We start from the raw sequence: 12,221 nt of genomic DNA on the forward strand, positions 1-12,221 counted from the left end.
TATTGCTGCATTGTTGCACTGGCTGTCTCTGGTCACTCCTGGCCTGAGCTCAGCCTCTGCCCGTCCCTTAATCGGCTGTTTGTCAAGGCCCCTGTGGTGCCGTGAAGCAATGGCCGCTCGGCCTGCCAGGGCGCCAGGACCCTGCGCTGTCCGCCGTGGCCGGCGCGTCCACACGGTGGCGCGCCGCACAGCCTGTCCGCTCTGGCCCGCCCGGCTCGCTGGTGCGGCTGTGCGGGCGGGGCCGGAAGTGTGGGGACAGCGCGGGGCCGAGAACCGGAAGTGCGGGGCGGGCGCGGGGGCAGAGCGAAAGGCTTGAGGACCAGGTCGGGGCCGGGTTCCGGGTCGGGGAGCGGCTCCGGGCGGCAGCTATGAGGCGGGACGTGCGCATCCTGTTACTGGGCGAGGGTAGGCGCCGGCCCGGGGGTCTCGGAGCTGCGGCGGCCGTGAGGCGGGGTGAGGGTCTCGGGGGTCGGGGGGCGCCGTGACCTTGGCCCTCGCGCTGACCGCCTCGCCCCGCGCAGCCCAGGTGGGGAAGACGTCGCTGATCCTGTCCCTGGTGGGCGAGGAGTTCCCCGAGGAGGTAAGGGGCACGCCCGCCGCGGGGGTGGGAGCGGGCCCAGCCGGGGGTCCCTGGTGAGCGCGCGGGTCCCTTGCAGGTCCCTCCCCGCGCGGAGGAGATCACCATCCCCGCGGACGTCACCCCGGAGAAGGTGCCCACCCACATCGTGGACTACTCAGGTAGCGGCCGTAGCCTCCCGGGGGCCCGGCCCGCAGCGGTCCGGCGGGCCTGCTGGGTCCGCAGTGGAGTCTCTTTGTCCCCCTAGAAGCCGAGCAGACGGACGAGGAGCTGCGGGAGGAGATCCACAAGGTACCCGTGGTGCGCGGGACGAGGGAGGGGCTGGGCGCGGGCTCGGCCTAATCCGCTTCGCAGCCTGGGGGATTGGACCGAGGTGCTCCGGGTGTCCTTGGCCCTGATAATTCTGTGACCTCCGCACTGAGGGTTGTCGGGGCCCCTACAGCGCACCCCGCTGGGAGCCGGCACCGCTCAGTCCAGTGGTGCTCCAGGGATAACAGGACCCTTCCCCGCGGGCTCTCCCTCCCTCCTGCCGGGGTGGCAGCAGCGTTTGCTCTTCCTGTGGGCTCTGTGTGCGCCACGTCCCCGTGCTGTGTGCTCCAGCCCACCGTCCCGGCCTCCGGGCACCCGGAGCTCCCAGTACCAGAGCACGTGTGCCGGGGACATCTCCAGGCAAGGGCACAGGCCACAGCCACCCAGGGCAGCCCCTGCTGTTGGCACCCCTCACTGCGGTCCTGTCACTCTGTCTGTAGCGAGGGGGGAGGCAGGGGCCAAGGCGGCGGCTGTCTTGCAGGGTGTTGGGTTGCAGGTGTGGCCGTGTCTGTCCTGAGCCCTCTGCTCCAAGGGTCTTGCTGACCACAGTTATGCTTCTGGGGCCTGGTGTCCCTGCACTGGCAGTGGGCGGGGAAGAGGCTTCTCTGAGGGTTCAGCAGCAGCTCCCAGTGTGACACTGGGGAGTGCCTGCTCTGCCAACACCAGGCTGGAGGCAGGTTTTAGGGAAGGCTGGGCTTTCCCGGCCTCAGAGCTGCACCCATGCTACCTGTGAGCTTCTGGGGCCTCCTGGAGCCTCGAGATGGCGTGGAACGGCCAGGGTCGTCGGTGGTGAGCCAGCAGCCCTGTCACCCACACCTCATCACTGTTCCCTCAGGCAAACGTGGTGTGTGTGGTGTATGACGTCTCTGAGGAGGCCACCATTGAGAAGGTGAGCCCTCAGTGCAGACCCCAACAGCAGAGACACAGTGGCCGGTGGTGGCCCAGGTGGACCTTCACCCAACCCGTGGCCAGTGCCATCGCTCACAGCATTTTGGGGAGCCTGACGTGGAGTTGCCTGACGTGGAGTCACCCGGCCCTCTCCTGTGATCCCACTTCCCCTGAGAGGGTCTGGGGCGTCCCGCAGTCTGAGCCATTGAGGCCGGCAGTCCTCTTTCTTCCCCAGTTTCCAAACCCCCGGGGGGGGACCCGCAGAGGGCCTGCGTTGGGGGCGGCCCTAGGCTTGGGCCCCAGTGACTTGGGGGTGTTTGGGAGCCATTGGGGTCAGACAGATGAGGCTGCACCTGCTGCCTGCCTTCTCCCACCAGCTTTGTTCCTGTGGCCGGGACTTGGGCCCTCAGTGGGCCTTGACCTCCCCCTTCTGCTCTCCCCCAGCCAGGCTCATGCTCCAGCTGGGAGCCATGTGCCCGCGGGCAGCCTCACTTCACAGCCAGGCTTTGCTTTTCAGATTCGAACTAAGTGGATCCCACTGGTGAATGGGGGGACCACGCAGGGGCCCAGGTAATGAGGGGATGTGGAAGGGGCTGGGACCCCTGGCTCCCCTGCCCCTGGTGACCATGGGCCTTCAACCCAGGGTGCCCATCATCCTAGTGGGCAACAAGTCAGACCTGCGGTCGGGGAGCTCCATGGAGGCCGTGCTCCCCATCATGAGCCAGTTTCCCGAGATTGAGACCTGCGTGGAGGTGAGTAGGTCCCAGGCAGGGCCGCCTCCTTCATTCCTTGTGTTCTCAGTCGGTGCCCTCCTCGGGGCACTTCCCTGAGGCTGTTCCCACTTTCCCAGTGTTCGGCCAAGAACCTGAGGAACATCTCAGAGCTGTTCTACTACGCCCAGAAGGCCGTCCTGCATCCCACAGCCCCCCTCTATGACCCTGAGGCCAAGCAGGTGAGCATCGGCTGGGGCCCCGCACGCTGGTTCCCCAGGGGCCCAGGGGGTGCTGGGTGGGGCGGTGTGGCAGGTCGGCGTGGGTCACCTGAGGGTGCTGAGCCAACATCCCCACAGTTGAGGCCCGCGTGCGCCCAGGCGCTGACGCGCATCTTCAGGCTCTCAGATCAGGACCTGGACCAGGCGCTCAGTGACGAAGAGCTCAACGCTTTCCAGGTGTGCCCCTGCCCCACCCTCGGTGCCCAGCCCCCTTGAACCTCCGCTGCCGTTAGTGACTGGAACGGGTCGTCTCCGGGTGGCTGGCTGACTCCCAACAACGTTCTCTCGGAAGCAGAAATCCTGCTTTGGGCACCCCCTGGCCCCGCAGGCCCTGGAGGACGTGAAGACGGTGGTGTGCAGGAACGTGGCGGGCGGCGTGCGGGAGGACCGGCTGACCCTGGATGGTGAGGCCGGGTGCCCGCCTGTGCCTGGGGAGTGTGGGGAGGGGGCTGTGCCTGGTGCTCCCCCTGCTTTGTCTCGGTGCAGGTTTCCTCTTCCTGAACACGCTCTTCATCCAGCGCGGCCGGCACGAGACCACCTGGACCATCCTGCGGCGCTTCGGCTACAGCGATGCCCTGGAGCTGACTGCGGACTATCTCTCCCCTCTGTGAGTGATGCCGGGGCTTGAGGCCTGCCCTCCCCGAGGGTCAGGAGCTGACTGCCGACTATCTCTCCCCTCCATGAGTGACGCTGGGGTTTGAGGCCTGCCCTCCCTGAGGGTCAGTGAAGGTCTCGCTCAGCAGGCCATCTGGGGTCGTGCCCTTGCCTGGCTGTGCCCTGAACCCCTCAGCATCCACAGAGCTCTGAGTCGGGGGGTGGGGGGGCTGGCCCTTTGCCAACCCCGCTCGCGTGGCTTGTTTACCCTGCTGGGGTCGGCAGCTTGGGGTGTGGCCTGTGGGCCTCAGCCAGGCCTCCCACGTGCTGGAGCCAGGTGGGCACCCTCCTCCCCTATCGCAGCTGCAAGGTCGGGGGCGTACAGGAGCCTCTGGGTCCTGTAGGGAGGGTCCGGCTGCACCGATGGGGCTGGCAGGGTGACAGATGGGCTGAGCGTGGTGCTGCAGAGTCTCCTGGGAGCTAGACGGGCTGTGGCCTCCCTGCAGGATCCACGTGCCCCCCGGCTGCAGCACGGAGCTCAACCACCTTGGCTACCAGTTTGTGCAGAGAGTGTTTGAGAAGCACGACCAGGTGAGAGCATGGCGAGTCCCCTGCCCCTGCCCCCGCCCCCTCCCCGGCACACACATCACCACATCCCTCCTTCTGCAGGACCGCGACGGCGCCCTCTCGCCCGTGGAGCTGCAAAGCCTTTTCAGTGTGTTCCCAGCAGCGCCCTGGGGCCCCGAGCTCCCACGCACAGTCCGCACAGAGGCCGGCCGGTTGCCCCTGCACGGATACCTCTGCCAGTGGACGTAAGTGCGGCCCACACCATGCCCGCCTGCCGCACCACCCTCCCCACCATAACACTGTGCCTGCCTCCCGCCCACCCCCAGCCTGGTGACCTACCTGGACGTCCGGAGCTGCCTTGGACACCTAGGCTACCTGGGCTACCCCACCCTCTGTGAGCAGGACCAGGCCCATGCCATCACAGGTAGGCACCCACCCTCCCTGGGCCTGGGCCCAGTATCCTGGCAGCTGCCCTAACCCGTGTCTATCCTCACAGTCACTCGTGAGAAGAGGCTGGACCAGGAGAAGGGACAGACGCAGCGGAGCGTCCTCCTGTGCAAGGTGGTAGGGGCCCGTGGAGTGGGCAAGTCTGCCTTCCTGCAGGCCTTTCTCGGCCGCGGCCTGGGGGTAAGCACCCTAGACTCCCCCACCACCCCAGGGGCTCCAGGGGCAGGGCAGGGCAATCTGGGGGGCACTGCAGCCAGCGAGTGTCAGGACTTCACCTCCCTCAGCACCAGGACACGAGGGAGCAGCCTCCCGGCTACGCCATCGACACGGTGCAGGTCAATGGACAGGAGAAGTACTTGATCGTGAGTGCTGGGGCGGCGCGGCCTGTGCCCGAGGGTGGACCCGGGGACACCCAGGCCTGCCTGGCAGATCTGGCCCAGCATGGCCCTAGGGGGACCGAGCCCCAGGGACCCTTCCTAAGGCCGCTGTCTGTCCCAGCTCTGTGAGGTGGGCACAGATGGTCTGCTGGCCACATCGCTGGACGCCACCTGTGACGTTGCCTGCTTGATGTTTGATGGCAGTGACCCAAAGTCCTTTGCACATTGTGCCAGCGTCTACAAGGTGGGGCCCTGCAGGGGCCACGTGGCCATGGGGCAGGGTCTGTCCCTCCAGCTGTGCCTCGGCCACCCCAGGACTGTACCTCATACCACTCTCTGCCCACAGCACCATTACATGGACGGGCAGACCCCCTGCCTCTTTGTCTCCTCCAAGGCCGACCTGCCCGAAGGTGTCGCGGTGTCTGGCCCATCACCGGCCGAGTTTTGCCGCAAGCACCGGCTACCCGCTCCCGTGCCGTTCTCCTGTGCTGGCCCAGCCGAGCCCAGCACCACCATCTTCACCCAGCTCGCCACCATGGCCGCCTTCCCGTGGGTACCCAGTAGCGCAGCCCTGGGGACTAGCAGTGTCTGTCATCCGAGCAGTGGGCAGCGGTGGTGTCAGGCCTGGAACTGGGGACTAGCAGTGTCTGTCATCCGAGCAGTGGGCAGCAGTGGCGTCAGGCCTGGAACTGGGGCCAGAGTGGCGGGGTGGAGCTTTGTGTGGCAGAGGGAGGCAGTGCCCAGGCATGTCCCTCCAGGGCCTGGCCTCCACCGGCTGTGCCTCTGGTCTGGGATCCCCGCCTGTGGGGCCCTGTGAGTCCAGGACATGGGAGGGTGCCCAGCAGCAAGCTGGGGGCATGTGCCTGAGGTATCTGCAGATGATTCTTCTCTCTTGCAGACATTTGGTCCACGCAGAGCTGCATCCCTCTTCCTTCTGGCTCCGGGGGCTGCTGGGGGTTGTCGGGGCCGCCGTGGCCGCAGTCCTCAGCTTCTCACTCTACAGGGTCCTGGTGAAGAGCCAGTGAGGCCCCTGGTACCCAAGCCCCCTCCCCTGACCTGGGTGTGCCTCGCTGCTGGGGCTCTGCAGGGGCAGCACAGCTGGGGTGCAGGCCAGGCTGCCACTCCGGGAACGCCTTTGCGCCGGGACTTTTTGTTTCTGAAGGCAGTCGATCTGCAGCGGGGCCTTATGCTGCCATGCACTGCCCTGGCTCCTGCCGGACCCCCAGGGTGGGCCGTGGCAGGTGGCTGAGCAGGAGCTCCCAAGTGCCGGCCACCGCTGTCAGGGATTGCCCACCCCTGGGCATCATGTGTGTGGGGCCGGGGAGCACAGGTGTGGGAGCTGGTGACCCCAGACCCAGAATTCTCAGGGCTCTACCCCCCTTTCCTGGTCCTAGGTGGCCAGTGGGTATGAGGAGGGCTGGAAGGCAGAGCTTTGGGCCAAAAGCAGGCGTTGGGGGGTCCCCCCTCAAGTTTGGAGCCGTTTCCGTGGTTGTAGCAGAGGACCGGAGGTTGGGTTCCTGATTAAACTTCACTGTGTGTTTTCTATCTCGGATCCCAGTCTCTGAAGACAACTTGCTTTGATTCAACCTAGAATGTGTTGTTTGTCTTTATGTGGGCTGGAAACGCCACCCCTCCTTTCATTCCTGGGTCACTGTTCTGAGGTCTCAGGCGTGTGCATATGGCCTCTGGAAGGTCCACTCTGGGCTGCTGTGGCCTGGGAGCCCAGTGTCCTTGGAGGTCCTGCGGTCTGGGAGTGGGAGCCCACTGCGGGAGGACGGTGCGCGCCCGGCATGGACTGGGGGGCGCCGGTGCCTGAGATGTTTCCCCGGTGACTGACCCCTTCTCAGGGTCCAGTGTGCCCTGGCACTGCCCACTCACTCCCCAGAGCGTCCTGCCAGCCTGGCTGAGCTGCGCCGAGAACCTGGGCTTGTGTGACCAGATGTGGTCACTGCCTGCCACAGAACGGGGTGACCCTGGGGCCCTGACCTGAGGGAAGCAGGATGGGCCAGAGGGAGGGACGGGCTGGGAGTTGAGCCCAGATGCCTGCTTCTCGGGACCCAGGGCGTGGCCTTCCCAAGGTCACCCGGACAAGTATCAGAAGGCCTGGTCCCCCCCCTCCCATGTCTGCCTTTAGGGAGTGGCAGGTGGGGCCCCTTCCCAAGTCCTGGCCCACACGGGCCCTGCCTTGGAGCTTGTGGCATTGGCCCCTGAGGTCCCTCCCGACTGATGGTATTTGAGCCCGCTGTACCCCCACGGCCTGTCTTCTGGGACTACTGCAACCCTAGGAGAAGCCCTCTGAGTGGCCCTTGCAGGGGCTGCCATAGTCACACGTGTCTTATCTGTCACCTCCATTGTGGAGGGGTTGGCCCGCCTTCCCAGGAGCAGGTCCCCTCATCCCAACTGCAGCCCTGCCCCCTGGGGGTTCTGCTCTGTGTTGGAATGCCCCTTGTGCCCAGCCCTGGCGCCGCCTTAGGGCGGGAGGTTTTGCTGTCCTGCATGGAGTTGCAAGAGTGGTCAGGGGCCTCCAGCCCAGGGTGTGGACGAGTGGGCTGGGCTTGGTCGTCAGAGCCAAGGCGGCTGCAGCAGCGTCTTCCTCCTCCTAAGAGGCGGCTGTAGTGGCCATGCGGGACGAGGGACTTCCTTGCTGCTGCGCTCGGTGGGGGGTTGCGGGGGGAGGGGGTGTGTCTGCTGCAAGCAGGGAGCTCCAGCCGGTGGCAACATGAACCGCAGGGAGTACTGGGTCAGCCTGGAGGGGGAGCAAGCAGTGGTCAGGGAAGGCTTCCTGGAAGAGGTGGCATCCTCACAGGCCTGAGCCCGGGAAGGCTGTGAGAGGGCGAACGGTCTTGCATGGGGGGTTTTAGGTGCCCCCCATCCCCGTGACTCCATTTACCAGCGGCTGCCGTGGAGGTAGTCCAGTGTGCTGGAGCTGCGCCAGAGCGGGGGTGGGGGCCGGCGCTGAGACGCGGTGCTAGCTGGAGGCGGTTCCTGTCCGGGGTGTGCGTCCGCGTGCAGGGTGCGCGCGTGTCTTGGCCGCGCGTGGCGGCGTGTGCGGCAGGGGCGGGCAGGCGGGCGACTCGGTGACGCGGCCCAAGCGCGGCGCCGAGCGGAGCGGGCGGAGCGGGCCGGCTGGGGCGGAGCGGAGTCGTCCGCAGAGCAGCCCCTCCCGGCCGCGGCCGCCGACCCCGGACCCCGGCCCCCGGCCAGGCTCTATGGACAGGAGCTCGCTGCTGCAGCTCATCCAGGAGCAGGTGCGTCGGGGGGTGGTCTGGGGAGCTGGCACCGCCCCCAATGCGGCCCTCCTGCCGCTGAGCTGAGCTTGTGCGGGACCGAGCTCCCCGAAAGCCCCGCTCGGTACCTACCTCATCCCTCCACGACCTTGGTCCGTGTGTCTGGGACCCCAGGAGAGGACTGACTGGACCAGAGCTCCTGGCTGGAGAAGGGAGAGTCGGGGGGAGGGAGGGAGGGAGGGAGGGAGGGCGGGCAGCTGGCTGGTCTTGGACCTTGGCCCTCGCTTTCCAGGATGGGTAGGGTGGAAGACGGGGGAACAACTGAGGAGCTGGAGGACTGGGACCCAGGCACCAGTGCCCTGCCAGCTCCTGGGATCAAGCAGGGTCCCAGGGAACAGACAGGCACGGGGCCCCTGTCCCAAAAGTGCTGGGAGCCTGAGCCTGATGCTCCCAGCCAGCCTGGCCCAGCCCTTTGGTCCAGGGGTCGGGCCCGCACTCAGGCCTTGGCTGGCGGCTCCTCACTGCAGCAGCTGGACCCCGAGAACACAGGCTTCATCGGTGCGGACACCTTCACTGGCCTGGTGCACAGCCATGAGCTGCCCCTGGACCCGGCCAAGCTGGACATGCTGGTGGCCCTGGCTCAGAGCAACGAGCAGGGCCAGGTCTGCTACCAGGAGCTGGTGGACCTGGTCAGTGCCACGGTGGGCAGGCGGCAGGGGCACGGTGTCCTGGCCAGAGGAGGCGGGCAGGCAGCTCCTCACGGCGGTGGGTGGGGGGCTTGTGGATGCGGGGAGCTGGGTGAGCCTCACAGGCAGGGGTGCCATGGGGAGGTCCGTGGCCCACACTCAGGCCCCTGCCCCCAGATCAGCAGCAAGCGCTCCAGCAGTTTCAAGCGGGCCATTGCTAACGGACAGCGGGCACTGCCCCGGGACGGGCCGCTGGATGAGCCAGGCCTAGGTGTCTACAAGCGGTTTGTGCGTTACGTGGCCTACGAGATCCTGCCTTGTGAGGTGGACCGCCGCTGGTACTTCTACCGTCACCGCAGCTGCCCACCCCCCGTGTTCATGGCCTCGGTCACTCTTGCCCAGGTGGGCCCCCCGGCCGCTGCCCCGGGAGCCTCCCGCGCTCCTGGCCATGACCAGCCTAACACTCGTGTCCCCAGATCATCGTGTTCCTGTGTTACGGGGCCCGCCTCAACAAGTGGGTGCTGCAGACCTACCACCCCGAGTACATGAAGAGCCCCCTTGTGTACCACCCCGGGCACCGTGCCCGCGCCTGGCGCTTCCTCACCTACATGTTCATGCACGTTGGGTGAGTAGCACTGCTGCCCGGTGAGCCCCGCCCCAACCTGCCATTACATCAGAAAGGCTTAGCCGCAAGGCAGGTGCGGCAACTTGAGGTGACGGCTGGGGGTGGGGCCGGATGGCTGACCCCACCCTTCGTACCCGTTTGCTTCCCTGTGGCCAGGCTGGAGCAGCTGGGGTTCAACGCCCTCCTGCAGCTGATGATCGGGGTGCCCCTGGAGATGGTGCACGGCCTGCTCCGCATCAGCCTGCTCTACCTGGCAGGCGTGCTGGCAGGTGAGGCAGGCGCGCACCCCCGCCCCCTGCCCTGGCCGGCTGCACCCTCACCCGCCGCTTGCTCACACAGGCTCCCTAACCGTCTCCATCACCGACATGCGGGCCCCGGTGGTGGGAGGCTCCGGCGGGGTCTACGCCCTGTGCTCGGCACACCTGGCCAACGTTGTCATGGTAACGGGCCTGCCCGGTGGGGGGCGTGGGGAGGGGCCCCAGGTGAGCCTCACCACTTCTCGTCTGCACACACCCATAGAACTGGGCTGGGATGAGATGTCCCTACAAGTTGCTGAGGATGGTGCTGGCCTTGGTGTGCAGTGAGTAGGGGCCGGGGGGAGGGCCGGGGGGCCTCTCAGCCTGCAGCCAGGGCACCTCCCACCTGCCGCGTCCCTCTGCAGTGAGCTCCGAGGTGGGCCGGGCCGTGTGGCTGCGCTTCTCCCCGCCGCTGCCCGCCTCGGGCCCACAGCCCAGCTTCATGGCGCACCTGGCAGGCGCGGTGGTGGGGGTGAGCATGGGCCTGACCATCCTGCGGAGCTACGAGGAGCGCCTGCGGGACCAGTGCGGCTGGTGGGTGGTGCTGCTGGCCTACGGCACCTTCCTGCTCTTCGCCGTCTTCTGGAACGTCTTCGCCTACGACCTGCTGGGCGCCCACATCCCCCCACCGCCCTGACCGGCTACCTGAGGCTGCACAGGCCAGGGCTCGGGCATGTGGTGGCCGCCCACCAGGGGCCTTCACGTCTGCCCTTTGTGAACGGACGTCTCAGGGCTGCTGTGCCCCTTGGGTGTGGGTGGCCTCAAAGGAGGCCCTGTCCCAGCCACCCACCCCCCACTCCCAGGACTTGCGGTCTGAGCCTTTTTGGATAATTAATAAATATTTTACACAGCACCAGGGGGCTGTCCCGGGCTCTGGAGACTCGTCAGGGCCCCCACACCTGCTGCACAGACCGCGACGGCCCTCCCCACCACGGGGGCCTGGACTTCCCTCCTTGTGCATCTCTGCACCTGGGGTCAGGCGTGGGAGTTGTTCCTGGGCCACAGGTGCTGTGTCTGTGGGAGCTGGGGGCACGCGGGATGGCTGGGGGCCGGGCGTGTGGTCAGGCCAGGTGTGTGGTCAGGCCGGGTGTGTGATCAGGCGTGAGTTTGGGAAGTGTTTATTGAGCTCCCGTAGTGGCCAGCCTCCTCTTCAGCCTCCCTGCCGTCCAGTGAGACCCGGAGGCCTGAGGTTCTGTGGCAGGTGAGCAGGCCTGGGCCATGGCCAAGTTTACTCGGCCTGGGTTCCATGCTTCTTGGCTGGCCTAGCATCCTCGTGGGTGGCCAGGCTGGGGCCAAGGTTGGGCAGCAGGTCTGGGCACAGCCTCTGCCCCACAGCCCAGGTCCACAGTGCTGTCTCCACTAGGTAGGGAGTCCACTGTCCTGAGGCACTGGCTAGGGAGGGGCACACGGACTCAGGCCCAGGGGCACGGGCCACCCCAACCTGCCCACACACAGTTCATTCCCCTTGGCTCAGAGCTGTGGCCCGCTCTTGAACCTGGCCCAGGTACAGCAGGTAGTACCTGAGGGTGTACTGTGGGGCCGGCCAGCCGGGCACTGTGGCCACCGCCTCATCTGACATGAAGGCCTCCATCTCTGGAGCTCCAGCTGCCAGGACTGCTGTGAACAGCGAGGAGAAGCAGCCAGACACACCCCATCAGGACAAGCTCTGGGAGACCCTGCTCCCAGCAGCCCAGGGCCCTATGGTTCCTGCTCCTAGCGACACGCAAGGGCCCAGACTGCCCGCTTCACAGACAAGAACGCCTATGTACCCAAGTCGTGCCCACCCAACTCACCCGAGGCTGTGGTGGGCCCACACCGCAGAGGGCACACAGCTCGGTGACTGCAGCCCCCACATCTGGCAGGAGGCAGAAGGTGGCGGTCGAACAGTGCACAACCAGCTCAGGGGGATTGGTGGCCACCAGCTGCTGCAGACGTGGCCGGAAGCGCCCCTCTGTGGGAGGCCAGGTCAGGGTGCCTGGGGTGCTGGACCCACCAGGGAGGCCCCGCCCCCACTGGAGACACCCGCCCCGCCGATGCCACGCCCCAATGAAGACCCGCGCTACGGAGGCCCTGCCCTCGGGGCGGGCCGCCCTTCACAGTCAAGCTGCCAGGCCAGCAGCCGCTCCAGCTCCCTGTCACATGCTTCTCTGCTCTGCCCCTGATGGCCGCTGGCAACTCTTCCCGATACCTGAGGAAGGGCGGTGAGGGGAGGACTGGCCACGGAGGACGCTCGCCCCACCGATCTCTATCCCCTTCCACTCTACCAACAGTCCGGGGCTTCCAGCCGCCCTCGGGGGCTCGCGCTCGCCCGTAGCACCTCTCGTGGCGCTCCAGAATGGCAGCCCAGCGACTGGGGTCCTCACACCCCACAGCGCGTGGGAAGCCGCTACGTTCACGCGCAGGGGCGGGAGGCGGCGGCTGGGGGCGGGGCCTCTGCTGATGGGGCCGGGTGCTGGGGGCGGGGCCTCTGGATTGGGCGGTTGCTGGGGGCGGGGCCTCTGCGGATGGGGCTGGGGGCGGGGCCTCTGCTGATGGGGCCGGCGGCTGGGGGCGGGGCCTCTGGATTGGGCGGCTGCTGGGGGCGGGGCCTCTGCGGATGGGGCCGGCTGCTGGGGGCGGGGCCTCTGGATGGGGCCG

At 67.1% G+C, this 12,221-nt stretch overlaps 2 protein-coding genes and 1 pseudogene across 40 annotated transcripts, besides 7 other annotated features; 2 read left to right on the plus strand and 1 right to left on the minus strand.

The window, feature by feature from the left end:
- Window positions 12-693: an enhancer, noted in NCBI's record as "H3K27ac-H3K4me1 hESC enhancer chr16:717843-718524 (GRCh37/hg19 assembly coordinates)". NCBI's record gives its function as "activates a minimal SCP1, AML or CMV promoter by ChIP-STARR-seq in naive H9 embryonic stem cells {active_cell/tissue: H9 hESC(naive)}" and the evidence as "EXISTENCE:reporter gene assay evidence [ECO:0000049][PMID:30033119]".
- Window positions 79-418: a silencer, noted in NCBI's record as "silent region_6935". NCBI's record gives its function as "represses an Ori minimal core promoter by ATAC-STARR-seq in GM12878 lymphoblastoid cells {active_cell/tissue: GM12878}" and the evidence as "EXISTENCE:reporter gene assay evidence [ECO:0000049][PMID:35858748]".
- RHOT2 (ras homolog family member T2) lies at window positions 252-6,343 on the plus strand. Of its 34 annotated transcripts, none has more exons than XM_047434843.1 (19): window positions 252-323; window positions 522-580; window positions 657-738; window positions 825-868; window positions 1,722-1,775; window positions 2,292-2,344; window positions 2,418-2,526; window positions 2,625-2,726; window positions 2,844-2,942; window positions 3,058-3,169; window positions 3,252-3,372; window positions 3,866-3,950; window positions 4,029-4,171; window positions 4,253-4,350; window positions 4,423-4,553; window positions 4,658-4,735; window positions 4,872-4,994; window positions 5,097-5,299; window positions 5,649-6,343. In XM_047434843.1, exons 7-19 carry the CDS (start codon window positions 2,470-2,472, stop codon window positions 5,773-5,775), a joined length of 1,479 nt encoding a protein of 492 aa, XP_047290799.1. In that variant the 5' UTR covers window positions 252-323; window positions 522-580; window positions 657-738; window positions 825-868; window positions 1,722-1,775; window positions 2,292-2,344; window positions 2,418-2,469; the 3' UTR covers window positions 5,776-6,343. The 34 variants fall into 34 exon arrangements, 30 of the variants coding, with proteins under 30 accessions (XP_047290799.1, XP_047290800.1, XP_047290801.1 ...); XM_047434844.1 differs by having other exon boundaries at window positions 527-580; XM_047434845.1 differs by having other exon boundaries at window positions 527-580; window positions 3,061-3,169.
- Window positions 479-578: a silencer, noted in NCBI's record as "silent region_6936". NCBI's record gives its function as "represses an Ori minimal core promoter by ATAC-STARR-seq in GM12878 lymphoblastoid cells {active_cell/tissue: GM12878}" and the evidence as "EXISTENCE:reporter gene assay evidence [ECO:0000049][PMID:35858748]".
- Window positions 679-768: a silencer, noted in NCBI's record as "silent region_6937". NCBI's record gives its function as "represses an Ori minimal core promoter by ATAC-STARR-seq in GM12878 lymphoblastoid cells {active_cell/tissue: GM12878}" and the evidence as "EXISTENCE:reporter gene assay evidence [ECO:0000049][PMID:35858748]".
- Window positions 7,132-7,666: an enhancer, noted in NCBI's record as "H3K4me1 hESC enhancer chr16:724963-725497 (GRCh37/hg19 assembly coordinates)". NCBI's record gives its function as "activates a minimal SCP1, AML or CMV promoter by ChIP-STARR-seq in primed H9 embryonic stem cells {active_cell/tissue: H9 hESC(primed)}" and the evidence as "EXISTENCE:reporter gene assay evidence [ECO:0000049][PMID:30033119]".
- RHBDL1 (rhomboid like 1) lies at window positions 7,840-10,437 on the plus strand. 5 transcript variants are annotated; one of them, NM_001278720.2, is made up of 8 exons: window positions 7,840-7,998; window positions 8,505-8,666; window positions 8,841-9,065; window positions 9,140-9,288; window positions 9,445-9,557; window positions 9,628-9,728; window positions 9,808-9,868; window positions 9,950-10,437. In NM_001278720.2, exons 1-8 carry the CDS (start codon window positions 7,960-7,962, stop codon window positions 10,219-10,221), a joined length of 1,122 nt encoding a protein of 373 aa, NP_001265649.1. In that variant the 5' UTR covers window positions 7,840-7,959; the 3' UTR covers window positions 10,222-10,437. The 5 variants fall into 5 exon arrangements, with proteins under 5 accessions (NP_001265649.1, XP_047290817.1, NP_001265650.1 ...); XM_047434861.1 differs by lacking the exon at window positions 9,628-9,728; NM_001278721.2 differs by lacking the exon at window positions 8,841-9,065.
- Window positions 7,865-7,914: a silencer, noted in NCBI's record as "silent region_6938". NCBI's record gives its function as "represses an Ori minimal core promoter by ATAC-STARR-seq in GM12878 lymphoblastoid cells {active_cell/tissue: GM12878}" and the evidence as "EXISTENCE:reporter gene assay evidence [ECO:0000049][PMID:35858748]".
- On the minus strand, window positions 10,687-11,946 carry STUB1-DT (STUB1 divergent transcript; annotated as a pseudogene). Its single transcript, NR_136337.1, has 4 exons — window positions 11,773-11,946; window positions 11,378-11,535; window positions 11,105-11,198; window positions 10,687-10,976 (listed from the first exon to the last, which is right to left on the minus strand). The product of NR_136337.1 is annotated as an STUB1 divergent transcript (transcript).
- Window positions 12,058-12,167: a silencer, noted in NCBI's record as "silent region_6939". NCBI's record gives its function as "represses an Ori minimal core promoter by ATAC-STARR-seq in GM12878 lymphoblastoid cells {active_cell/tissue: GM12878}" and the evidence as "EXISTENCE:reporter gene assay evidence [ECO:0000049][PMID:35858748]".

Source organism: Homo sapiens, chromosome 16 (genome assembly GCF_000001405.40).
Source record: "Homo sapiens chromosome 16, GRCh38.p14 Primary Assembly".
Classification (NCBI taxonomy): Eukaryota; Metazoa; Chordata; class Mammalia; order Primates; family Hominidae; genus Homo; species Homo sapiens.

Bases quoted from the DNA above. Each gene is read 5' to 3' on its own strand.
- RHOT2 (NM_001352275.2), top strand. From the start codon at position 369: ATGAGGCGGGACGTGCGCATCCTGTTACTGGGCGAGG. The intron at 2,345-2,417 runs GTAATGAGGGGA...CCTTCAACCCAG, and splicing joins GGGACCACGCAGGGGCCCAG to GGTGCCCATCATCCTAGTGG. The intron at 4,554-4,657 runs GTAAGCACCCTA...CACCTCCCTCAG, and splicing joins TTCTCGGCCGCGGCCTGGGG to CACCAGGACACGAGGGAGCA.
- RHBDL1 (XM_017023849.2), top strand. From the start codon at position 8,271: ATGGGTAGGGTGGAAGACGGGGGAACAACTGAGGAGCTGGAGGACTGG. The intron at 9,066-9,139 runs GTGGGCCCCCCG...TCGTGTCCCCAG, and splicing joins CCTCGGTCACTCTTGCCCAG to ATCATCGTGTTCCTGTGTTA. The intron at 9,869-9,949 runs GTGAGTAGGGGC...GTCCCTCTGCAG, and splicing joins GGTGCTGGCCTTGGTGTGCA to TGAGCTCCGAGGTGGGCCGG.